The following is a 26,106-nucleotide window of genomic DNA, read 5'->3' as shown; positions in this document are numbered from 1 at the left end:
GAGGGATATTATATACTGATAAAAGGACTAGTTGAACAAGAAAATATCACAATTCTAAATATATATGGACCTAACATTGAAGTTCCCAAATTTATAAAACCATGACTACTAGAACTAAGAACTGAGATAGATGGCAGCACAATAATAGGGGGGAAGTTAAATACTCCACTGACAACACTGGAGAGGTCATCAAGACAGAAAGTCAACAAAGAAACAATGGACCTAAACTATACCCTACAACAAATGGACTTAACAGATATTTACAGAACATTCTACTGAACAACTAAAGAATATACATTCTATTCATCAGCAAATGAAACAATCTCTGAGACAGACCATATCGTAGGCCACAAAACAAGTCTCAAAAATTTTCAGAAAATCGAAATTATATCAAGTACTCTCTCAGACCACAGTAGAATAAAATTGGAACTCAACTCCAAAAGGAACCCTCAAAACCATGAAAATACATGAAAATTAAATAAACTGCTCCTGAATGATCATTGGGTCAACAATGAAATCAAGATGGGAATTCAAAAAAATTCTTTGAACTGAAAGATAATAGTGATGCAACCTATCAAAACTTCTGGGATACAGCAAAAGCTAAGAGGAAAGTTCACAGCATTAAATGCCGACATTAAAAAGTCTGAAAGAGCACAAATAGACAATCTAAGGACACACCTCGGGGAACTGGAGAAACAAGAACATTCCAAACCCAAACCTAGCAGAAGAAAAGAAATAATGATCAGAGCAGAACTAAGTGAAATTGAAACCAAAAAAAATACAAAATATAAATGAAACAAAAAGTTGGTTCTTTGAAAAGATAGATAAAATTGATAGACCATTAATGAGATTAACCAAGAAAAGAAGAGAGAAGCTCCAAATAAGTTCAATTAGAAACAAAATGGGAGCTATTACTACTGATACCACAGAAATACAAAATATTATTCAAGGCTACTATGAACACCTTTATGTGCATAAACTAGAAAACTTAGAGGAGATGGATAAATTCCTGGAAATATACAACCCTTCTAGATTAAACCAGGAAGATATAGAATCTCTCAGCAGACCAGTAACAGTGAAATTGAAATGGTAATTTTAAAAATGCCAACAAAAAAAGTCCAGGACCAGACAGATTCACAGCTGAATTCCATCAGACTTTCAAAGAAGAATCAGTACCAATACTATTGACATTATTCAAAAAGATAGAGAAAGAGGGAATCCTCCCTAAATCATTCTATGAAGCCAGTATCACCCTAATACCAAAACCAGGGAAGGACATAACAAAAAAATAAAACTACACAACAATATCCCTGATTAACATAGATGCGAAAATCCTCAATAAAATACTAGCCAACTGAATCCAACAGAATATCGAAAAGATAATCCACCATGATCAAGTGGGTTTCATGACAGGGATGCAGGGATGGTTTGACAAAATAAATGTGATACATTACATAAACAGAATTAAAAACAAAAATCACGTGATTATCTTAGTAGATGCAGAAAAAGTATTTGACAAAAATCCAGTATACCTTTATGATTAAAATGCTCAGTAAAATCAGCATAGAAGAGACATAACTTAATGTAATAAAAGCTGTCTATGACAAACCCACAGCCAACATTATATTAAATGAGGAAAAGTTGAAAACATTCCCCCTGAGAACTGGAACAAGACAAGAATGCTCACTTTCACCATAGTACTGGAAGTCCTCACCAGAGCAATCAGACAAGAGAAAAAAAAAAATAAGGGCATCCAAATTGGTAAAGAAGAAGTCAAACTGTCACTGTTGGCTGATGATATGATAGTCTACATAGAAAACCCTAAAGACTCCAAAAAGCTCCTAGAACTGGTAAATAAATTCAGCAAAGTTTCAAGATAAAAAATTAATTGTACACAAATCAGTAGCTGTGCTATACACCAACAGCCACCAAGCTGAGAATCAAATCAAGGGCTCAACTCCTTTCACAATAGCTGCAAAAAAAGTACTTAGACATATACTTAACCAAAAAGGTGAAAGACCTCTACAAGCAAAATTACAAAACACTGCTAAAAGAAGTCATAGACAACACAAACAAATGGAAACACATCCCATGCTCATGGATGGGTAGAATCAATATTGTGAAAATGACCATACTACAAAAGCAATCTATAAATTCAATGCAATTCCCATCAAAATACTACCACCACTCTTCACAGTACTAGAAAAATAATTCTAAAATTTATATGGAACAAAAAAAAAATCCCACATAGCTAAAGCAAGATTAAGCAAAAAGAGTAAATCTGGAGGCATCACATTACCCAACATCAAACTATACTATAAGGCCATACCCACCCAAAGAGCGTAGTACTGGTATAAAAATAGGCACATATACCAATGGAACAGAATAGAGAACCCAGAAATAAAGCCAAATACTTGCATCAAACTGATCTTCAACCAAGCTAACAGAAACACAAAGTGGGAAAAAAAAAGACATCCTATTCAGCAAATGGTGCTGGGTAAATGGCAAGCCACATCTAGAAGAATGAAACTAAATCCTCATCTCTTATACAAAAATCAACACAAGATGGATCAAAGACTTAAATTTAACACCTGCAACTGTAAAGATTTTAAAAGATAACATTGGAAAAACCCTTCTAGACATGGGCTTAGGCAAAGACTTCATGACCAACAACCCAAAAGCAAATGCAACAAAAACAAAGATAAGTAGATGGGACTTAATTAAACTAAAAGCTTCTGCACAGCAAAATAAATAATCAGCAGTTAACAGACAACCCACAGAGTGGGAGAAAGTCTTCACAATCTGTATATCCATAAAAGGACTAATATCCAGAATCTATAAAGAACTAAAATCAGCAAGAAAAAAACAAACAATCCTATCAAAAAGTGGGTTAAGGACATGATTAGAAAATTCTCAAAAGAAGACATATGAAGGGCCAACAAGCATGTGGATAAATGCTCAACATCACTAATTATCAGGAAAATGCAAATCAAAACCACAATGCGATACCACCTCACTCCTGCAAGAATGGCCATAATTAAAAAAATCAAAAAATAATAAATGTTGGTGTGGATGCAGTGAACAGGCAACACTGTTGATGGGAATGTAAACTAGTATAACCACTATGGAAAACAGTGTGGAGATTCCTAAAACTAGATCTTCCATTTGATCCTGCAATCCCACTCCTGGGTGTTACCCAGAAGAAAAGAAGTCATTATATAAAAAAGATACTTGCACATTCATGTTAATAACAGCAAAATTTGCAATTGCAAAAATATGTAACCAGCTCAAATGCCTATCAATCAATGAGTGGATAAAGCAAATGTGATATACAGACACACACACACATGCACACACACACACACCCCATGGAATACTACTCAGCCATAAAATGGAATGAAATACTGGCATTCACAGCAACCTGGATGGAATTGGAGACTATTATTCTAAGCTAAGTAACTCAGGAATGGAAAATCAAACATTGCATGTTCTCATTCATATGTCAAATCTAAGCTATTAGGATGCAAAGGCATAAGAATGATATGATTGGATTTCGGGGACTTGGGGTAAAGGGTGGTAGGTGGAGAGGGACAAATGACTATATGTTAGGTACTGTGTACACTGCTCTGGTGATGGGTGCACCAAAATCTCAGAAATCACCACTGAAGAACTTATTCATGTAACCAAACACTACCTGTTCTCCAAAAAACCATTGAAACAAAAAAAAATTAACGTTAAGAAAATATACAGTATACCAAAAAAAGAACAGAAATATGTGGTTATCTCACCATTAGAAAAGATGTAATTATCTTCCATATCAGAAAGTCTAGAAATAGATCCCATTATTAAAGAAATTATATTTATAAAACATAGAAGAATAATAATGACAGGCCAGCAACATCATTATATTTGATGGTAAAGCACTGCAATTACTCACTTTAAGAACTAACAGTAGTGTGCTTATTGTCTCAAGCATTGTTTAACATTATTTGCAATTGAAAGACTAAAATGAAACAAACAAAAAACTCTCAGAAAAATCTTTCACTAGGATCACAGTTCTTTTAGCACCTGTCCACTAGAACCAGTTGAAAAAGTATAGTAAAAAAGATCCTGCTTACCATAGTGAAAACAAATATAAAAAACTAAGCAGAAATTCATGGTAGTACTCAGAGGCACTAGAAGAAAAACAATAGAGAAAGCCATTTTTAGATCAGAGAAAAGAATGTTTTAAGAAAGAGAATTTAGAAGAGTATCAAAATCTGGTTAACATTCCAGTAAAATGAAGACTTAAGTATGGATATTGGATATCAAGACAAAGAGGTTACTGGTATCCTAATGAAACCTCCAAATAAATAAACCAGAAAATTTTACTGAAGAACATAAAATACTTAGCCAATAGGAAGGTATGCTGTATTTCATGATGCAAATATTTAATTTACTGAGACTAATAGTTAAATTAGTTCAGTTTCACTCAATATTGTAATTGTTATTTTTTAAACTCAGTGAAAAGTTATAGATTGTTTTCCAACATGAAAATATGTATTTGATTTAGCCCAATTCCCAGTATTATTCTTTAGGGAGAAACACTAGAAAATTTTCTAATTAAATAAAGAAAAAGATACCAGATACCACTGCTATTATTTGACATTTACTGGAAGTAAAATGAAAGAAGCTAAAGCTATAAAAAATGAACGAGATAGAACTAACACTATTCGCAGATAATATGACAAATTGTAAGAGAATTCAGTAAGATAGGCATAAAATTGACATACAGAGACTAGTGTCATTAATATAATCAGTTAGAGTTTAATGTAGAAAAAACATTCAATTTCCAGTAGCCATAAAAATATAAATTACCAAGAAAGGAACTTAACTATGAATGTGTAAAACCTTTATGAAGAGAAGTTTAAAATACTACTAAAGGATACAGTAGAATACCTGAACAAGTGGAAGAATATAACAAGCTCTTGTTTGAAACTTCCAACAGCAACATTATGTCATTATTCCTAATCGATAACTTTATTATGATTCAAGCTTATTAAAGAGGATTCTTTGGAAGTAAATAATCATAAAATATAGAAAAATAAGCAAAATATATAGAAAAGTCTCTGGAAAAAGAGCAATGGGGGACAGACACTACCAGATGCTCAAATGTATTATAAAATCTCAACAGTAAAAGCAGTAGGAATGCATATAAGTAGCTACACCAATGAAATTAGAATAGAAAGCCCAGAAATAGACTCTAAGTGGGAATTTAATATATAATCAAAGTAGAATATAAAATCAGTAAAAAAAAAAGGAATTGAGAATTTTATAATTTCATATTTCCCCTAATTTCATAGAAAATTAAGCAAAAAAATATTGAACTTATACTTCAAGTCATATGGGGGATAATTCTAAAAGAATCAATAATATATACTTTAAAATGAAATAATGAAAATATAAAAAATAAACGTAAAATTTCTTTATAACTAAAGAAGAAAAGGCCTCTCTAACAATGAGTCAAACTCAGAATCCATAAAATTGACTGATATAATTTAATTACATTTTAAAATCTGAAAAAAAGTCAAGCCAAAAATAAATAATAAATTGGGGGAAGATATCTTTAACTCATATCACAGAGTATATTGTTTTTATATTTATACAGAGCTCCTAGAAAATTTTCCAATAAAAATCGAAGAACTAGATTTTTAAAAGATCATAGACTATAAATAGATAGTTTGCTTTAAAAAAAAGAAGTATAATGACTGTTAGACATGTGAACAGATGATTATTATCACTCATAGTAGGAAAAATATAAATGTGATGTCATTTTTCATGTTCAGATTAGCAAAAAGTCAGAAGTTTGATAGTACACAATGTTGTTACAGCACAGCTATCCTCATACATTGCTGTGAAGATTATAAATTTGTGTGACCTTATATAGCAATTTGGTGAGAACTATCAAAATTATAAATACTTGTACTTTTTGACCCAACAAGTATTTCTGATAAATTGTTCTACTGACAAACTTGTTCTTATGCTAATTTGTGCAGGTACAAGTTTTCTCACTGTAGTATTCTTTGTAAGAGCAGAAATTTGGCAAAACATTAACTGTCCACTAATAATAGACTGGTTATATAAATTACAGTACATCCATAAAATGCAATCAAATAATAAAAAAGAATAAAGATGCTGTCAATACATTAAAATGAAGATATTCCTAAGTATATTGTTAAATAAAAATATCTTGATAAGTAGTTCCTTTTTTCATAAAAATGAAATTCTGGAAGGATACATATGAAGCAAATATTAGGGCTTACTTTTTTGTAGGAGGCAGGTGGCATGGAAACCAGGCAAACAAGTCTGGAGGGGGAATTTTCACTGTATACCTTTTAATATCTTTGGCTTTGAATACCATGAATGTTAAAAAAATGTATTCACATAATGACAAATGATTTTGAAATTTATCACAAAGAATAAACTATTAGGAATAGACAAATACAATTGTGAAAAGATGCCTTCCGCTATTGGATGGTAAAAGGCACATGTAAAATGTTATCATTAAAACTGTGTTTCATTGGCCCCAATAAATATAGATGTGGCAAAGGCACCGGACATAGAAATATGTCTACATATGTACAATGTATGGTATTTGATAAGTACGATAAATGTCAGTAGAGAAAAGACAGATTACTCAACAAGTGATAATTAAGTTAATGGGCAACAATTTAAGAAAGAAAATTTTATGTCCCTATCTCATACCATATTGTAATGTCATCCTAAAAAAGCAAAAGAAAAAAAAATGAGACACTTTCAATAACAGACATAGTACCAAGATAATCCTAGATATTGTTTATAAGAGTGGGGTGATTGCATTTGTAATCCATGTCCAAAAACCATTTAAAATGTTCTGTGAATAAGCCAAATTAGGACTCCCTCAGAGAAGACATCTTTCAGAACCATCTCAGTCTCAATAGCCCATGAAAAACAAGTTATTTCAAATCAGTTATTTGCAGGCAGCTAAACAGAAACTTCTGTTGATTATGCTGCAAAGTATCTTCCTTACTAAAAATTCGCAGTTGTTCTTTGTTTTCAGCTTGAACTATCCAGCAGTATTAGTTTTGGTTATTTTTTCCAGGTTTAATCCTACAGCAGTTACCTAAGTAGTTATTGTAATTGGCCCATCTTCTGGGTTGTGTTGATATCTTGGTATTTTCCTAAAAGTGCTCTTGATTTGCACTAGAACCCTAAACCTAGATTCTCAGCATTAAATGTCTTTGTTTTCCTGGACTCTTTTCTCCCAGCATCAGTTTTCTTCATGAATTTATATTTTATTGATAAAATACTGCCTTTAACACTATAATGTGTGAGTTAGGCAAACAACTATTTTTTAAATCTGAATTTATTTTAGAATTTCTTTTCTCATTCCGTTCTCTGTCCTTCTTCCTCTCTATCAAAGATTTTACTCATGACCCTCTAATCTGACAATTATATAGAAAGAGAAATATTTACAAACACATAAGGTATCTGAATACACCTGGCTTAACCCTCCTATTTTGTTTTTTGTTTGCTCATTTGTTTGTTACTGGCTACTTTGTTTTAATAAAGCAAAGCTAAAGAGTAAGGGTGGAGTCAAAATGTATCTGCGTTCAATCCCCATATTTGCCCGTAATAGTGAGATCACAGACACACTACCCAACCTTGCTGAGACTGATTCCTATCTATAAATGAGGAATGTTAACACTTGTTAATTGTAGCAAGGATTAAGTAAAATAGTTTTGCTATAACACTAACTGTACTGGTGCTAACAATAAATACTAGTTGTTTATTTAAATTCCTAAATAACAGCATTTTGGCAATTATAAATATTCATACTATTATTTCTGAAAGGATGATGTGAAAAATGAATCAGTGTCCTCAGCAATCTAACAGTCTCATTGTGAATGCCTGTCTGTTGTTATGCAATGCTTGCTATCATTCTTTTGATGTGTGTCACATAAATGTATTCTAGACCCTCAGAGACTCATGTTTTTTGCAAGATGTAATTCCACAGGGATGCCTTCAGGCAGAGAAGCTGAACCCTTCGCAACCATCCTCCCATTTCAGAAACCACACAGGGTGTTGTATGGCTGCCCACAGACAGATATACTCCTACACAGGGAGAGACATAATCTTTAAGAAGTTAACCTGAGGAAATGGGTTAGTAGTCAGGAAGATTAGAAAATGGATCACAAGTAATGAACTCATCCTGACATTAAACTCTGTTTCAGAAACCCATGCAGAGACCCTGATTGAAGCAACCAATTGAACAGAGCAGCACTGTGGAAACTGTAAGTTAATGCACTGCTCCAGCACAGGAAGAGATTTGCTTCAGAATTGCAGACCTGCTTGTGAGTGTACCCTTCTTTAAATCATATCTGTAATTGATGTAAATCAGTGGTTTAAATGTTCAACTGAACACATCTCTGGCCACAGAACAGAGTAACTTCTGGGGATTTATCTCTATATTCAGATGTGGAAACCTAAATTTACAAGTACACCAGCATCTGCTTAGCAAAAGTTATTTAGTCTAACCCACATAAATTCTGACAATGCATATACAGTGGTGAGGCTAAAAGGTTTCAAGGGTGTGATGGACACCAAAAAGTACTAGAAGCCTGTACTGAAGAAACATGGTAATCAAGTTTGTATCTTTGTCCCTTCCCAAATCACATGTTGAAATGTAATCTCCGTTGTTGCAGGTGATGCCTGGTGGGAGGTGATGGGATCATAGAGGAGTATTCCTCGTGAATGGTTTAGCACAATCCCCTTGGTGCTAATCTTGTAATAGCAAATGAGTTCTCATGAGATCTGGTCATTTATAAATGTGTGCCGCCTCCTCCCCACTGCTGTCTCTCTCTTATAAATTATCCAGTCTAAGGTATTTATTTATAGCAATGCAAAAACAGTTTAATACACATGGGACAGGTAAAAGTGGTAATTCTCTCATGAGTAGTGTAAGCAGTAAACAGTCTTTAGAACTAACTCCAGATGGTCTTAGATATGGCGAATGGTGCATATAGGTACATTGATATTCCACCTCAGATTTCAGCTTATGACAGCTAGAAAAAGGTGTAAACATATTTGATGTACCACAAAGAATCAGAGGGAATTACTTTAAGAAAAAGAATGCGAATTGGTCATCTTTTTCTAAGTCCTATGTGTTTCTATATCTTCCTCAAGTTTCCACAGCCAGAATTAACAGAAGTTAACCTGATGGCATTGAGGAGTAGAGAGAGAAGGTGCCTTCCCTTGACGTCTTGGCACCGGGTGTCAATGTGCCATCTGATATGGTTGGGGTCTGTGTCCCCACCCAAATCTCATGTTAAATTGTAATCCCCAATATTGCAGGTGGGATCTGGTAGGAGGTGATTGGATCATGGGAGCAGATTTCCTCCTTTGGTGCTATTCTCATGACACATTCTCATGAAATCTGGTTGTTTAAAACTATGTAGCAATCTCCCCTCTTACTCCTTCTCTGGTCATGTAAGACATGCTCACTCTCCTTTTGCTTTCTGCCAAGATTTTGAGTTTCCTGAGGCCTCCCCAAGAGCAGATCTTGCCATGCTTCCTGTTCAACCTATGGAACTGTGAGCCAATTAATCCTCTTTTCTTTATAAATTACCCATTCTCAGGTATTTCTTATAGCAGTGTGAGAATGGACTCATACTGAAAATTGGAATCAAGGAATGAGGCATTCCTATAAAGGTGCCTGAAAATGTGACAGCAACTTTTGAAGTGGGTAACAGGCATATGTTGAAAGAGTGTGGAGGACTCAGAAGAAGACAGGAAGATGAGGAAAAATTTGAAACTTCCTAGAGACTTGTTAAGTTGTTGTGACCAAAATGCTGATAGTGATATGGACAGTGAAAGCCAAGCTGAGAAGGTATCAGATGAAAATAGAGAAGTTATTGAGAACCAGAGCAAAGGTCACTTTTGTTATTCATTAGCCAAGAACTTGGCAGCATTGTGCTCCTACTCTATGGATATGTGGAACTTTGAACTTGAGAGTGATAATTTAGGGTATCTGGTGGAAGAAGTTTCTAAGCAGGCAAGCATTCAAGATGTTTCCTTGTTGCTTCTAGCAACCTATTCTCATACGCATGAACAAAGAAAGGACCTGAAACTTATATTTAAAAGGGAAGCAGAGTATAAAAGGATAGAATATTTGTAGCCTGGCCATTTGGTAGAAAATGAAAGGCCATGTTTGCCGGGAAGGGGAATTCAAGCTGGCTGAAGTAGTTTGCTTAAGTAAATAGGACCACGATGCTGATAGCCAAGACAATGGGAAAAAGGCCTCCAAGGCACTTCAGAGACCTTTGAGGTAGCCCCTCCCATCACAGGCCCAGAGGCCTAGGGGAAAGAAATGGTTTCATGGGCCAGGACCAGGGCCCTACTTCCCTGTGCAGCCTCAGACACTGCTCGTCACATCCTAGCTGCTCCATATCCAGTCCTGATTAAAAGGTGCCCAGGTACAGCTCAGGCTAGTGCTTCAGAAGGTGCATGCCATAAGGCTGGGCAATTTCTGCTTGGTGTTAAGCCTGAGGGTGCTCAGAGTGCAAAAGTTGAAGCTTGAGAGCCTCTGCCTGGATTTCAGAGGGCGAATGGAAAAGCCTGGATGTTCAGGCAGAAGCCTGCTGCAGGGGTGGAGTCCCCATGGAGAACCTCTACTAGGCCAGTGCAGAGGGAAAATGTGGGGTTGGGGTGCCCACACGGAGTCCTCACTGGGGCACTCCCTAGTGGAGCTGTGGGAAGAGGGCCACCATTCTTCACATTCCAGAATGGTAGGGGCACTGACAGCTTGCACTATGTGCCTGGAAAAGCCACAGGCACTCAACACTTGCCCATGAGAACAGCCACAGAGACGGGGAGCTTCCCAAGGTCTTTGAAGTGCACCCCTTGCATCAGCATGCTCTGGATGTGAGACATAAAGTCAAAGGAGAATATTTTGGGGCTTTCTTAACAACAGCCCTGCTGGATTTTGGACTTGCATGGGGCCTCTAGCCTCTTTCTCTTGGCCAATTTCTCTCTTTTGGAATGGCAGTATCTACCCAATGCCTGTATCCCCATTGAATTATGGAAGTAACTAATTTGTTTTTTATTTTATAGACTCATAGGCAGAAGGGACTGGTGTTTTTTCACATGAAACTTTGGACATTTGAGTTAATGCTGAAATTAGTTAAGACTTAGGGGAATGTTGAGAAGGTATAATTGTATTTTGCAACGTGAGAAGGACATAAGATTTGGTATGAACCAGGAACAGAATGATATGGTTTGGATTTGTGTCTCCACTCAAATCTCCTGTTGAATTGTAATCCCCAATGTTCGAGGTGGGACCTGGTAGGAGGTGATTGGATGATGGGGGCAGATTGCTCCTTTGGTGCTGTTCTCATCATAGAGTTCTCATGAGATCTGGTTGTTTAAAAGTGTGTAGCATCTTGTTCCTGCTCCAGTCTTGTAACATGTGCTTGTTCTCACTTTGCCTTCTGTCATGATTTTGAGTTTCCAGAGGCTTCTCCAAAAGCAAGTCATGCCATGATTCCTGTACAGCTTGCAGAACTGTGAGCCAATTAATCCTCTTTTCTTTATAAATTACCCAGTCTCAGGTATTTCTTTATAGCAGTGTGAGAACAGACTAATACAACATCTCACACTATCCTTTAACATGCCATTTAGAAACATTCTGTGAAACAAAACCATGAGCAATACCAACAGATATTCATGAGGTTTAGCAAAGTGATAGACTCTTATAGATTTTATTTTTACTCTGTAAAGAATTAAGTCTAACTAAAGTCTTTAGGAGACCTACTAGAAAAAAAGAAATAAAGTATCTCAAAGTCAGAGGACATACTCTCTAACACGTCCTTATGCATAACTTATAAATAAAATTGTTATAATAGATGTACATAGTTAGATTTACAGAAATAAATTTAGACTTACAGATACATTGCAAAGATACTCATATACAGTACACACAGTTTCGACTATTGTTAACATCTTACACTACTGCAATACCTGTGTCACAGCTAATGAACCAATAATGCAGCATTATTGTTAACTAAAGTCCATACTTTCATTATATTGTTCACTAATGTCCTTTTTCTGTTCCAGGATTTCATACAGGACATCATATTATATTTAGTCATCATGTCACCTTAGGCTCCTCACAGCTGTGTCAGTGTCTCATTTTTGTTGTTTTTTGATGACCTTGACATTTTATGGAGTACTGGTTGAATACTCTGTAGAGTATCTCCTCAATAAGAATTTGTTTGGTGTTTCTCTCATGATTAGACTGGGTTTTGACTTTTGAGGAGTGAGATAAAAGAGAACTGTCCTTCACCTCATATTATATCATATTAAGAGTACATACTATCAAATGGACTTATTATTGATTATGTTAACCTTCATTAAGTGAAGTACTGTTTGTCAGATTTCTCCAATGTAAAGTTGTCCTTCTTTCCCATTTTCCATATTATTCTCTTTGGAAGCAAGTCACTAAGCACAGCTCACACTTAAGAAGAAGTGGGTAATGCTCACATTCTTGAAGGGAGAGTCTGTTCATAGACTATATGGAATTCTTCTATACAAGAGATTTGTCTCTTGACTTCCATTTGTTTTTTATTCCTTCATTTATTTATAATAGTATGAACTAATGGGTATTTATTTTACTTTGTATTACAATCTAGTACTATCATATTTATTTTATTGCTCTAATTGCTCCAGCTTTGGTCATTAGGAGCTCTTTCAATTGTCTTCCGTTTCCCTTTGACAAACACCCATTGTGTTGTTTTTGGATTACTTTACTACTTTCTGGCACTAAAAGATGGCCCAGGATTATCTTGTATATTCTCTGATCCAGCATGAAATGGATTTTAGCCCAGCATATTATTCTAAGCTTTCCATAATGTATTTTCATATAAAAGATTATGCCATAACTTTGGAGAAACAATGCCTTTGTAGACTAGTTCTCACTAAGTTTATTCAATTTAAAATGAATCTCTTAGATATATTCAACAAAACGAAACATGATATCTGGTACATTTTACTAACTTTCAACTTGCATGGGTTATATATGAGAACTCTTCAAATTTTTCTTATCTAGGGAAAAAAGATATTCAAGTTTCCTGGGCACTAGGGAATATTTCTTACCAAAAGAAGCCACGAAAATAAGAAATAATAATAATAAATTCAAAAGATGGGTGAAATTATGAAACCAATAAAATGGGTAGAACTCAAAGATTTTTTAAAATCCAGTAAGGCTGAAAAAATCTAAATAGTGGGGAAAAGAGTAAAGCGAGATAAGAGATTAGAGGATCTTTAAGACTTACATATATGAAAGCAGCAGATAAAATGTGGGGGCCACTGGGCAGATTTCTGGAATATAAATTGTTAGAAACCCTATGACTTTCAGAGAATAAGAAATGTCAGCTATACAAAGCATTAATTTTATAATTTTTTTTTAAGTTACACTTCAAGTTCTGGAATACACGTGCAGAACGTGCAGTTTTGTTACATAGGTATACACGTGCCATGGTGGTCTGGTGCACCCATTAACCCATCATATACATTAGGTATTTCTCCTAATGCCATCCCTCCCCTTCCCCCCCATCCCCCAACAGGCCCTTGTGTGTGATGTTCCCCTCCCTGTGTCCATGTGTTCTCATTGTTCAACTCCCACTTATGAGTGAGAACATGCGGTGTTTGGTTTTCTGTTCCTGTGTTAGTTTGCTGAGAATGATGGTTTCCAGCTTCATCCATGGCCCTGCAAAGAACATGAACTCATCCTTTTTATGGCTGCATAGTACACCATGGTGTATATGTGCCACATTTTCTTTATCTAGTCTATCATTTGTGGGCATTTGGGTTGGTTCCAAGTCTTTGCTATTGCAAATAGTGTGGCAATAAACATACATGTGCATGTGTCTTTATAGTAGCATGATTTATAATCTTTTGGGTATATACCCCATAATGGGATTGCTGTGTCAAATGGTATTTCTGGTTCTAGATCCTTGAGGAATTGCCACACTGTCTTCCACAATGGTTGAACTAATTTACACTCCCACCAACAGTGTAAACGCATTCCTATTTCTCCACAGCCTCACCAGCATCTATTGTTTCCTGACTTTTTCATGATTGCCATTCTAACTGGTGTGAGATGGTATCTCATTGTGGTTTTGATTTGCATTTCTCTAATGACCAGTGATGATGAGCTTTTTTTCATTATGTTTCTTGGCCGCATAAATGTCTTCTTTTGAGAAGTGTCTGTTCATATCCTTTGCCCACTTTTCAATGGGTTGTTTTTTCTTGTAAATTTGTTTAAGTTTCTTGTAGATTCTGGATATTAGCTATTAGCCCTCTGTCAGATGGATAGATTGTAAAAATTTTCTCCCATTCTGTAGGTTGCCTGTTCACTCTGATGATAGTTTCTTTTGCTGTGCAGTAGCTTTTTAGTTTAATTAGATCCCATTTGTCAATTTTGGCTTTGTTGCCATTGTTTTTGGTGGTTTAGTCATGAAGTCTTTGCCCACGCCTATGTCCTGAATGGTATTTTCTAGGTTTTCCTCTAGGGTTTTTATGATTTTAGGTCTTACATTTAAGTCTTTAATTCATCTTGAGTTAATTTTTGTGTAAGGTGTAAGGAAGGGGGCCAGTTTTAGTTTACCGCATATGACTAGCCACTTTTCCCAACACCAATTTTTAAATAGGGAATCCTTTCCTCACTGCTTGTTTTTGAGAGCTCCAGCTGGTATCTGGTTGGTGCCCCTCTGAGATAAAGTTTCCAGAGGATGGAACGGGCAGAAGTCAATTTTTAGATCAAGAATTTTTAGTCTTTAAAAGTAATTTTTATAGAGACAAGGTCTTGCTATGTTGCCCAGGTTGGTCTTGAACCTCTGAGCTCAAGCAATCCTCTGCCTTGGCCTCCCAAAGTGTTGAGATTACAGGTGTGACCCACTGCACCTGGCCATTTTACTCCTATAAAAAGAGAAACTTTCTTAGCACCCTTATATCAACTGATGTATATCCAAAGTTTTAGCACATCACTGATGAAAAATTAATTTTACTTCCCAAATGCTCACAGATTACCTATCCCTGTGCTAGGACCCCATGCATTCTAGGCACTATGCATACAGCAGAATGAAATAGACAAGATAGCTATATTTGGAAAACCTACATTCTAGTGGAGAGATATAAACAAAATAACAACAACAATAGGAGAAGAAAGAAGAGAAAAAAGGGGAAGGAAGAGGAGATGAATAAGAGGGAGGAGAAGAAGGCAGCAGCCATGTCAGCTGGTTGTGGTTATAGTACTTAAGAATAAAAAAGAAACAGAAAAATGAAGTTACAAAGTGATTGGGTGGAGGGTGCAGTGGTCAGAGAATACTTCTTTAAAAGGCATTTGAACAGAAACCTAAAAGAGTGAAGAAAAATATATAAGTAGTAGGAAAGTATTCCAGGCAGAGAAAAAGCAAATGCAAATACTCTGAAGTGTGCAGTTTGACTTGTTGAAAAACACCAAGACCAGTGACACAAGAAGGTCAGAGAAGCACCAAGAAAGAGAGAAGCACAATATGTTATGTCTTGTGGGACTTAGTGGAAATGGGAAGCCATTACAAGATTTTTAAAATAGAAATTACATGATCTGGCATATTTTTAAAGGTTCATCTGGTTGCTCTATGTAGATTAGATTTAGAGACAGAGGGGTGGCTTTCATAGATCAAAATAGAGAAAGTATTTAGGAGACTATTCAATAATGTAGGCCACAGGAAATAGCAGTAAATGACTGCATTAAGGTATTTATTGAAGGTACAGTTGACAGGCTTTGAGGATGATTTAGATGTGGTATATGAGAGAAAGAGGGAAGTCAAGGACAATTCCAAGATTCTGGGCTGAATCTACTGAAAGAATAGAGTTTCCACTGATTAAGATGGAAAGGACTATAAGAGGAAGGGAGCATAAAATCAAGTGCCTGGTTTTGAACTTGCTAATTTTAAGAAGCTGTCTGTTTTGTGTTGCTACAAAGGAATATCTGAGGCTAGGTATTCCTCAAATAAACTGAAAGGTGTATTTGACTCAGGGTTGTAGATGGCTGCAAAGTTTAAGATTTGACATCTACATCAGCTGAGGGCCACATCAGGCAGCTTCCACTCATGGAAGAAGGCGAAGGGGAGTGGCATGTGTACAGATTGCATGAAGAGAGAAAAGGAAAAGGGCGGTGGAGGCAGGGAAGTGCCAGGGTCTTTTAACACCCAGCTTTTATAGGAACTAATAGAGTGAGAAGTCATTCACTCCCCCAAGGAAGGACATTAATCTAGTCATAAGGGATCTGCCCCCATGACTTAAATACCTCCCACTGGGCCCCAACACCCAGCACCATCACACTGGGGATCAAATTTCAATATGACACTTGATAGGGATTAAAAAAATGATATTCAAACTATAGCAGAAGCCATTAGATATCTAGATATCAGCTAGGCAATTCAATATGTGAGTCTGGAATCAAGGAGATGATCTGGGCTGGATATATACATTTTTTCTATTTTTATTGAAATATAGTGGTCATACATATTTTGCAGGTACATGTGATATTTTTACACATGTATGCAATGTGTAATGAGCAAATTGTGGCAATTTAGATTTCCATCACTTCAAATATTTATCTTTTTCTGTTCTGGGAATGTTCAAATTCTTCTCTTCTAGCTATTTTGAAATATTCAATGAAGTATTACTAACTATAATCTCCCTACTGTACTATTGAATACTAGAATGTATTTGTTCTATTTTACTGTATTTTTGTACCACTACCAAACTTCTCTTCATTCCCACCCTTACCATTTCCAGCCTCTGGTAACTACCATTCCACTCTCGACCTCCATGAGATCCACTTTTTTTTTTTTGCACCCATATATGAATGCAAACATGTAATATTTGTTTTTCTGTGCCTGGATTATTTCACTTAACATAATGATCTTCAGTTCCATCCATGCCACTGCAAATGACGGGGTGCCATTTATCTGGCTAAATAATATTCCACTCTGTATATATACCACATTTTCTTTACCTATTCATCCATTCGTGGACACTTAAATTGATTCCATATCTTGGCTATTGTGAATAGTGCTGCAATAAACATTGGAGTACAGATATCTCTTTGATATACCAAGTTCTTTCATTTTAGACATATCCAGCAGTGGGATTGCTAAATCATGAGGTAATTCTATTTTTTAGTTTTCTGAGGAACATCCATACTGTTTTCTATAGTGGATGTACTACTTTACATTCTCACCAAAGTGTACAGGCATTCCGCTTTCTCTGTATTCTCACCGGCATCTGTTATTTTTTATCTTTTTGATAATAACTTTTAACTGGGGTAAAATGCTATCTCATTATGGTTTCAATTTGCATTTCCCTGATGATTAGTGATGTTGATCATTTTTTATATATACTTATTGGCCATTTGTATATTTTCTTTTAAGAAATGTCTATTCAGGTCTTTGGAGATAAAAATTTTAGAATCATTAGCATATAGATGTCGTCAATTATTCTTTTCTCTATATTACAAGGCCAACTGCTTCTGCGTGTAAAATTACTAAGTCTCTTGAGAGCTAACTTACTACTTCATTTGTGTTATTGTAAAATAAATTCTTTGATCAGAAGCAATAATAGATGGGATACATAACATAGAATAAGGCATTCAGCAAACCAGAGAATGGTGTCTTGGTAGAAGCATGATGGGCAGAATTATATATAATTATTACATTAAAATAAATTGTTTTTTCCTCCATGATGGAAGGGACTCCATGTAATTGACCTGCTCCAAGGTGGCTGACTAGTCCCTCCAGATTCTATATCTGGAGCTCGGCATTATTCTCTGCTGTTGTCAAGTAATGTTTCAGCAATGACAGTAGTCATTGTAGAGAAAGTCCAAGTTGCAAAACCCATGCATGGCTTGAATCTCTGCCACCATAGCCACCCTCTTTCATGAGCCCATAGGGAAAGCATAGAGTCGTAGAAAAAGATAGTGATATGCACAAAGTATTTGTTCACCTGATTATTTAGAGCCATATCTGCAGTTAATGTCATTTATAAACTATTTTTAGAGAAAAAATATTCTCCCATTTGGAGACAGCCATCAACATACCTCTTCCCTTTTGCTCATACCTTGCCATCAATCTTCCAATCCTATTCTTCCCAAGCCCCTGACCATCTGGTCATACCACTAGTGAAGCAGCATAAATCCAAACATCAGATAATCTGAACCAGATAAAGGAGATAGCCAATTCTTCCTATGGGGTAATTACTCTGTCTTTCATAACTACCCTTTAATGGAGTTGTAGTATTACAGCAATGCCCTTATGGCAAGAGTCAACATGTAATATAAAATCACCTATAAACCAGACTCTAATTTGTTCTTTCTTATTCAATTCATTATGGGAGTGTCCTTAGCTGTCTATAGGTATAAGTTGAAGTGAATGTGTCAGTGCAGCAGAAGAAGGTACACTGTGGTGTGAACCAACTGATCATATAATGTTCTCCAGTCCAACCTCATGTGTACTATCTCCATTTGATAATGGAATGCCACTTGGGACACCAATTTTATAGCTTGATGGATCAGATAATATCCAATTTGTAATGGCCATCTCAAGTCATCTAGTCACATTGTGTTTCATCTTTAAGCATTTAGTCTCAATCAGGGTCCATTTGCAAACCAGGAATTTTCTTAAAATAAGTGATTTACAGAAAACTGCATAGCTTTACAGAAAAGTCTAGGGAACTGTACTCTGATTCTCTTATCAGGGTTTTCCATAGGCTCCATTCAGTATCCTGTTTTGTCATGGACACTTAGAATAACATTGACTCTACTGTTTCATACGAGCCAAGTGGTGCAACTTATACCAAAGCTGCAACAAGCTAAAGGGACTTATCTTTCTCTATAGTCCTCTCAAAGCCTATGAACTACTAGTTAAGAAGGTAACACATACCATAATGTGTACTATATGTCCATATACCTACAAAAATCAAAAAATGCCAACAAGGCTTGCTTCCATTCTAGTAGCTTAAAATGAAGCATCTTGTTTTCACTTGAGATGGGATATCACAACATGCCATAAAACTGCTAAATTCGAGAAACTTTACTATAACTTTATTAAATGTTTGTGAGATTTGTGTTGTTTGCCTATTTGCTTTTTCATTGGTTGGTGACTTGACAAAACTATTCTATTGATGTTTATTTCCCCTACAGTATATAGCTTCTGATGTTGCTCCTCAGAAAACACACCTTGGGAATACACAGAACCTTTCTGAGATGATTGTGGTTTTCATCAGCATTCACTTTGTCTCCTTCTGTGATCTTCCTGTTACATTTCTGGCTGATCTAGCACTATGGATATCATGCCCAGCTATTAGTATCCACTCATTGCTAGCTGATTGCTGTATTGTTTTTGACAGTACTGAGACATAAATTGCGCCAAAATGTGATCTGATTAAAGTCAGGCTTCTTTGAAAAGCTAGGTTTTGTCAGTTTTTGAGGATTCTCCAACCCTAGGAGGGCTTTTTTATGCTCTTTCTCTAGTTCACTCTGATAAACTTCTATTTGATCTACATTTTCACTTGTTGCTATTAATATCATGGAATTACCTGCCTCCTTTATGTGTTCACCATGAATATCTCCATTGTTATAGATGATAAACGTCCTCACATTGTGTTTCAGATGAAGTCAGCTCTCTTACAAAGAGCTTCAGCACCTTCTGTTCTCACTGCCTGCCTCCACCCTTGTAGAATCTCTGCCCCACTGCCCTGGAGATGTAAGCAAGTACAATGTCCCACTTATTCTTTAGTGACACTCTAGTGACTTTAAATGGTTAACTTTTATAATTTTTTATTAAATTCTTATTTCTCTGGGACAGACTCTGCTGCGCTCTGTATACAGTCATTTCAGATATTGATCTCCGTTCACTCATTTTATTATTTTTTGAGATATAACTTACATACCATAAAATTCATCTATTTAAAGTGTAGAACTCAGTGGAGTTTGAGTAGAATCACAATATTTTGCAACCATCAACACTATCGAATACCAATATGTTTTTATAATCCCAGAAAGAAGCCCAATGGCCATTAAATCATTTCCCATTTTACCCTATTCTGAGCCCCAGGAAGCAATTTTCTATATCTACACATTTGCCTATTCTACGCATTTCATATACATGGATTCACATAATATATGACCTTTTGTTTGTGGCCTATTTCACTTAATGTAATGTTTTCAAGTTCATCAATGTTATAGCATGTATTAATATTTTCTTACCTTTTTGGCTGAATAATATTCCATTGTATGCATATATTATATGAATATAATTTGGTTTATCTGCTCAATAGCTGATAAATATGTCCTATTTCCACTACATTGCTATCATGAATAATGAAGCTATAAACATTTGTGAACAATTTTTTGTGTGGACATGTGTTTATGATTCTCTTCAGTATACGTAGCTACAACATTTTGTAGTTCCACCAGTAATATATGAGGATTCCCATTTCTCCCAAATCCATGCCGACACTTATTATTATCTGTCTGCTTTGATGATAACATTCTAGTGTGTTTGAAGTGGTATCTCATTGTGGTTTGGATTTGCATTTCCCTAATGATTAATAATGTTTAGTATCTTTTAATGCTTTTATTAGATATTTGTATATCTCTTTGAAGATACGTCTATTCAAATCTTTTGCTCATTTTTCATAAAGGCATTTGTCTTATTGTTGTATTCTCAGTTACCTATATATTCTAAAACTTAGCTCTTACCAGTTATGATTGCAAATATTTTGTCCTATTCTGTGGATGATTTTACCACTTTCTTGATAATGTTCTTTGAAGTACAAAAGCTTTAATTTTTATAAAGAACAATTTGCCATATATATATATATATATATATATATATATATATATATATATATATTTCTTGGCTGCTTTTGCTTTTGGTGTCATATCTAAGAAATCATTGTTTTAATCAATGTCAAAATGATTTATGCTTATTTTCTTCTAAGAGTTGTATAGTTTTAGCTGCAACATTACAGCCTCCAATCTTTTTTTAGTTAGTTCCATTTTGAGTCAATTTTTAAAATATGGTACAAAGTATGACCACTGAAATTTCTGCTTGGTTGGTGTTTTGGTCAGCTAATGGTTAGAAAAAGGTGTTTTTAAATGTGTGGAACTAATCTTTGCCAAGGAGCTTAGCATGTGTATTGAGATAACATCTTAAACACTCAGCCACTTGTTTACAACTCTGACTTCACCTTTACTTCTTGTTTGCACAAAGCCTCAAGGTTAATTAGAAGTGAGAGCTTAGGACTTTCTCATATATTTCCAGAGCAATCACACAACTCTGGACATACCTAGAGCTGTACACATATGCAGCAAGCCATGTAGATTTTTAGAAATAAGTCAAAGTTTTTCCAAACTCCTCATAAACATCTCATTCTTAAGATTTACCTTGCAAACGTCTTACTTTGCCTAAGTTCATCATTGCCAAACTCTATAGTTTGGATTTAATGTTATCTACTGTCTCACAGAGCCATAATGTTAAACTTTGCCCATGGATTTTTTTTTTCTTTTTTTAACCAATGCCCCTGAGGATAAAGCTGTTAATACTACCCAAGCTCCAAATCAGGTCAAATAAAGGCAGTCTTGTAAGTGGAGTTTTCCAGGAATTGAGAGACAGTTTAAATAATCACAATTTTCTGGAAATGAGGCTTTGTAGAATATCCAACATTATATTTCAATCCCAGTGTCTGCCAGACTTCTGGCTGTCAGCATGATTGTGGGCTGCTTGTTTTCAAAGCTACTGCGGAGCTGTACAAGGAGATAGGATAGAGCAAGTTAAAATGATACAAAGCTCACTGTTTTTACTTAGATTCAGCCATTTTTCTTGAAAAAACACTTCCTGGGTTGCTGCAAGTCTTTCTTAATTTGAGTGGTTTTTGAAAAAGTTGACTGAACATTTTTTGCCAGTGTTTTTATTGCTTTAACGAAAGAGAAAATTTTTGGAGGTCCTTACTCTGACATCACCCACATGGATTCATTTTTAATATTCTACTTAGAATGTTTCTCTGTTCTCATCTTCAAGGATATATTTATAAGGTTTATTTTTAATTTCACCTCCTCAAGATAATCATGCTTAAATAGAAGATATTCTTTCATCTTCTGAACTCTCCTGTAATAGCTATCATATTTGTAATTTATTTTACTAAAATGTCATCTATTCCAGGGATTACCTAAACTCTTATTTGAAGCTAATATTGTTTAACTTTTGACATGTGTATTTATAATTTATTTATCCATCAAAATTATAATTATTTTAAAGACAGGAACGTTAACTTTTACACCTATATATCCTGAAATAGTTCCAGTTACATAAACTTAATTCAATGGATCACTTATTTAAATCAAAGTTATGTACTTCACTATGATAATTGTTATCAGAATTTTATTTATGCCATATATTCCAGAGATGGAAGGTTTGGGGACCAAAAACATTTCATGGCTTTGGTAGAATATTACTTCATATTATTTTTGAGGCATTTTCCATGTGATAAATTTCATACTTTTTTATTATCTTCCTGGTTGTTTGGCCTGGATCTTCACAGGTATTTAAATATTTAGCATTCCCCAGTTTTTACTTGCCACAAAATAATTTATAGTTACTCTCTTTATACTACACACACTACCTTAATATCCTATTAATTAGAGTACCAATGACATATATAGTTATATTTATTTCCGGTAAAAATGCTATACTTTTCTAACTCATGTTAGACGTTCGGAAACTTCATATATTGAAAAATTATTTAATGTGAAAGGATGTTAATTATTTATAAAATGAAATTGCTACTGTTGAAATCATTTGAAATTATTCACATGCACACACATCACACACAAGAAAAGCATGATGCAGTTTTGTCCTTCAAACAAATACTGTCACTTGCATGCCAGGGAAGGCTGTGTCTCCCTGAGCCTCGCTGAAACTTTAAAATATTTATGGCAAAAGCAGCCATGCCTTTTCTAAGTACTGAGAATGAGAGTAGTTATATATGAGATGACAATACCTATTCCTGTTTCCCTTGAAGTATATATTTGGGTTTTGCTGCAAATGAAAGAATAAGCTCAATTATCTTTTTTCATTCTCCCTATTCCCACAGGCAGAGGGAACAGGCATACAAGAAAATAAAATCACTATATGTTTAAGCAGAGGCTGGAAGAGACTCCATGTGGGATATTCCTCATCTGTGCACTGCACCAGAATTAAAATGAATGCTCTCTCTGTATACACTCCTTCTCTTGCCTGCCACCACCTCACTACACAAAAAATTGTTTTCTCTCTGTTGAGTTGGAAGAGATGTAAGTGATAAGTCATCATGTAAGCCTGATCCAATCAGAAGGCTTTTGTTTTTCCCCAGGAAAACTCTCCTTGGTATGACAGAAAAACAACTTGGAAACAATGAGTGGAAACAAAGAACAGAAATGATTTCCACATCAAATGCTAATGCACCTGTTAATTCCCTGACACAGTCATTTTTAAGTCAACACTTAAAAATAAATCTTCTCCTTGTGATTCATTAAATCTCCCACGATAGATATGAACCAGAAGCAATACTTACCTACTGTACTGCAGAGATAGTCAACCATAACCAAGATATTATTTAGGGACCAAAAAATGTAAGTTGTGATGGTTAAACCAAATGGAAAACAAACTTTATCAAAGTCTATGAATTTCACTGGAATATGAAAGTACTTTTACTTTTTATGTGTTCCACCACTGCACTAAAACCCTGATTAAAGATTGAAGACAAAGGAAAGTCTATTTCTATAACTAAGAAACCACGTAATTCTTTTACAACCATTTTGTTGGAGGTTGGTATATGTTCTGAATCTTTTAACATCTAAGAACGTATGTCTATTCCCTTCAAAGTGAAAGACAACTTAGCTATATTAAAAGCTAAGGTTACAAATTTTCTTTTTTCCTCTAAATTCTGAAGCAGTTGTTTTACCACCCTCAGATTTTTAGTATTGGAAAGTCTGAGGACGGTCTGGTTTTCTTGTTTTGTTGTTTACCCTGAGTACTTGTCACCTTCTTTATAAATAATATGGAGACACCTCAGAAGAAAATACTCAGAAGCTAGTATCATTCTATTAACTTCCCATATATTCAAGGGATACTTTTGAGATGCAGAATTAGATCTTGATATTATTTTAAAATATTTTTTCCTGTTAACTGTATTTATATGTTTCCATACTCTCCACCAACTGCCCTGTTGCTCAACATCTTCTTACAAAATATGAAGGGTTTCCTCTGCTAATACGGGCCAGTTATGATGACATCTGTTAGGAGAAAGAGTTGCAGGTTGACTCAGTGTACTGAGTTGTTATCAATACTATCTCAAGCACAAACGCTCGACAATTTGGTATGTGGAAGGTATACTTCATTGTCCCCCAGACATGATGTAGGTCTTCTTTAATTTGTCTCATCTATTGGTCATTGCACTGAGAACTGGGAATCAGGGATTAAGAGGACCCTGGTGGGGCTCATGCTACTATCTTTATAGTAAATACAACTGATAGTTTTAACTGATTTTTTTTCACATTCAAAGACTACGTGATGTATAAAATGTATAAAATATATAAGTTGAAAGCTTAAAGAATATTTGGTAGGCACTTGAGATTTTTATTGAGATATTCAAAATTATTTCATCAACAACACTTTTATCAGGATAATAGAGGTATTAAAATTAGAATAAAAAGCTATTCTGAACTGACCTCCAAACTGAAACATCACTGAGATTCTCAAAATCCAACTGAGAGTCAAATTGGCTGAACTAGGCAAATAAAGAAGAAATGAGGGTTTTTAACCTTACATTTTAGATTTATTGGGGCAGGGGAACTTTCTAAAATACAGAAGTATCACACCCAACCTAGGGAATCATATTTAAAGGCAGCGACGCTCTAATAGATGTTTGTAGTAGTCCATATTGGTTTGTAATTTTAAAGATAAAATATCTAAGTTTTCGATGATTGCTAAGATGAAATAAGCCAACTAGAATCTATCTAATGCACTGTTCACCACTAAAACTGAACAAACTACAAAAAACAAACAAACAAACAAACAAAAACAAGCACTTAAACACTCTGAAAAGTAAAAACTAGCAGGAGGATCTGAAGTTAAAGCTTGAAAGCAGCCCACAGTGGGTAGTGAGTTTCGTATTGTTTTCTTCCTTTATCACTTTGCTTGGATGTTTACCTGAGCTGTCTCCCATGAAAGGTTCTGAACTTCAATTCCAGTCTCCACAGCTCCCTGATAGCGCTGACATCGCTGCTTAACCTTTTAGCTTCTAAGCATCTGTGAAGCAGGTTCACTAATTACTATTTGCCTGACTCTGTTGAGACAGAACACACTCACACACACAATATATGAAGGAGATTTTTACTTACAGACAGCAAGGGACAAAAGCAGCTTATGATTCATTGTGAGCTGACCACCTAATCTTCAACAAACTGCCCAGAGTGAATAAAGTCTCAACGGAGCATGCCCCACTTGCACTGCAGCTGAGGAAACACAGCTGGCAGCCTGTTCTGAGTTATATAACCCAGGGGCCGCATGATCACTGGGCAAAGCTTTGAAGGATATCTCGCTTCCACAGGAAGGAGGAGTAAAGCCCAGGCTGTACCAGAGCAGTTCCTCCCTAACTCAAGATGTTGCATTCCCAGCACATTCTATAGTTATTTTTGAGAACTACAAGCAAGAAACAGGGATAACTAGGTATGTCCAAGGCCACCTGGAGAATTGTCCTAAGGTCTACCCCTCTAGCCAGACATCTCTCGTAGCAAAGTCAGTGCATTTCAAATGCCCACCAACCTCTCTGGATCTGGAGGAAGAGGTTTATCTAGCCAGACTGATGTAGCACCTTGACTGACCCAAACTCAGTGCAACACTGTTGAGTAACAGACAGAAAATCCTTTACTGGATCCCAAAGGACTACACCACTAGCAGGACAGCCAGACCTGCTTGAGGCAGTGACCTAATCCAGGATACCAGT

At 35.5% G+C, this 26,106-nt stretch overlaps 1 long non-coding RNA gene across 5 annotated transcripts in view, besides 1 other annotated feature; it reads right to left on the bottom strand.

The window, feature by feature from the left end:
* LOC105377862 (uncharacterized) overlaps nucleotides 1–25,627 on the bottom strand; it is a 322,839-nt gene extending 297,212 nt beyond the window's left edge. For 3 of the 5 annotated variants that reach the window (NR_187980.1, NR_187979.1, NR_187978.1), the window contains exons 1-2: nucleotides 25,502–25,627; nucleotides 25,311–25,409 (exon numbers count right to left, since the gene is read on the bottom strand). This is a non-coding gene — a long non-coding RNA (uncharacterized LOC105377862). Of the gene's footprint in view, nucleotides 1–21,775; nucleotides 21,869–24,716; nucleotides 25,410–25,501 lie in introns of those variants that run through there. The other 2 variants (NR_187981.1, NR_187977.1) reach the window with 2 other exon arrangements.
* Nucleotides 9,684–9,853: an enhancer, noted in NCBI's record as "experimental_94698 CRE fragment used in MPRA reporter constructs". NCBI's record gives its function as "activates a minimal promoter by MPRAs in K562 erythroleukemia cells, with activity observed for both the introgressed and non-introgressed 6:77500526 variant alleles {active_cell/tissue: K562}" and the evidence as "EXISTENCE:reporter gene assay evidence [ECO:0000049][PMID:34662402]".
* Nucleotides 25,628–26,106: the final 479 nt, after the last annotated feature.

The sequence above is a fragment of the Homo sapiens genome, chromosome 6 (genome assembly GCF_000001405.40).
Source record: "Homo sapiens chromosome 6, GRCh38.p14 Primary Assembly".
Classification (NCBI taxonomy): domain Eukaryota; kingdom Metazoa; phylum Chordata; class Mammalia; order Primates; family Hominidae; genus Homo; species Homo sapiens.
The sequence above is the reverse complement of the archived record's forward strand: the minus strand, read 5'-3'. Positions and strand labels throughout refer to the sequence as shown.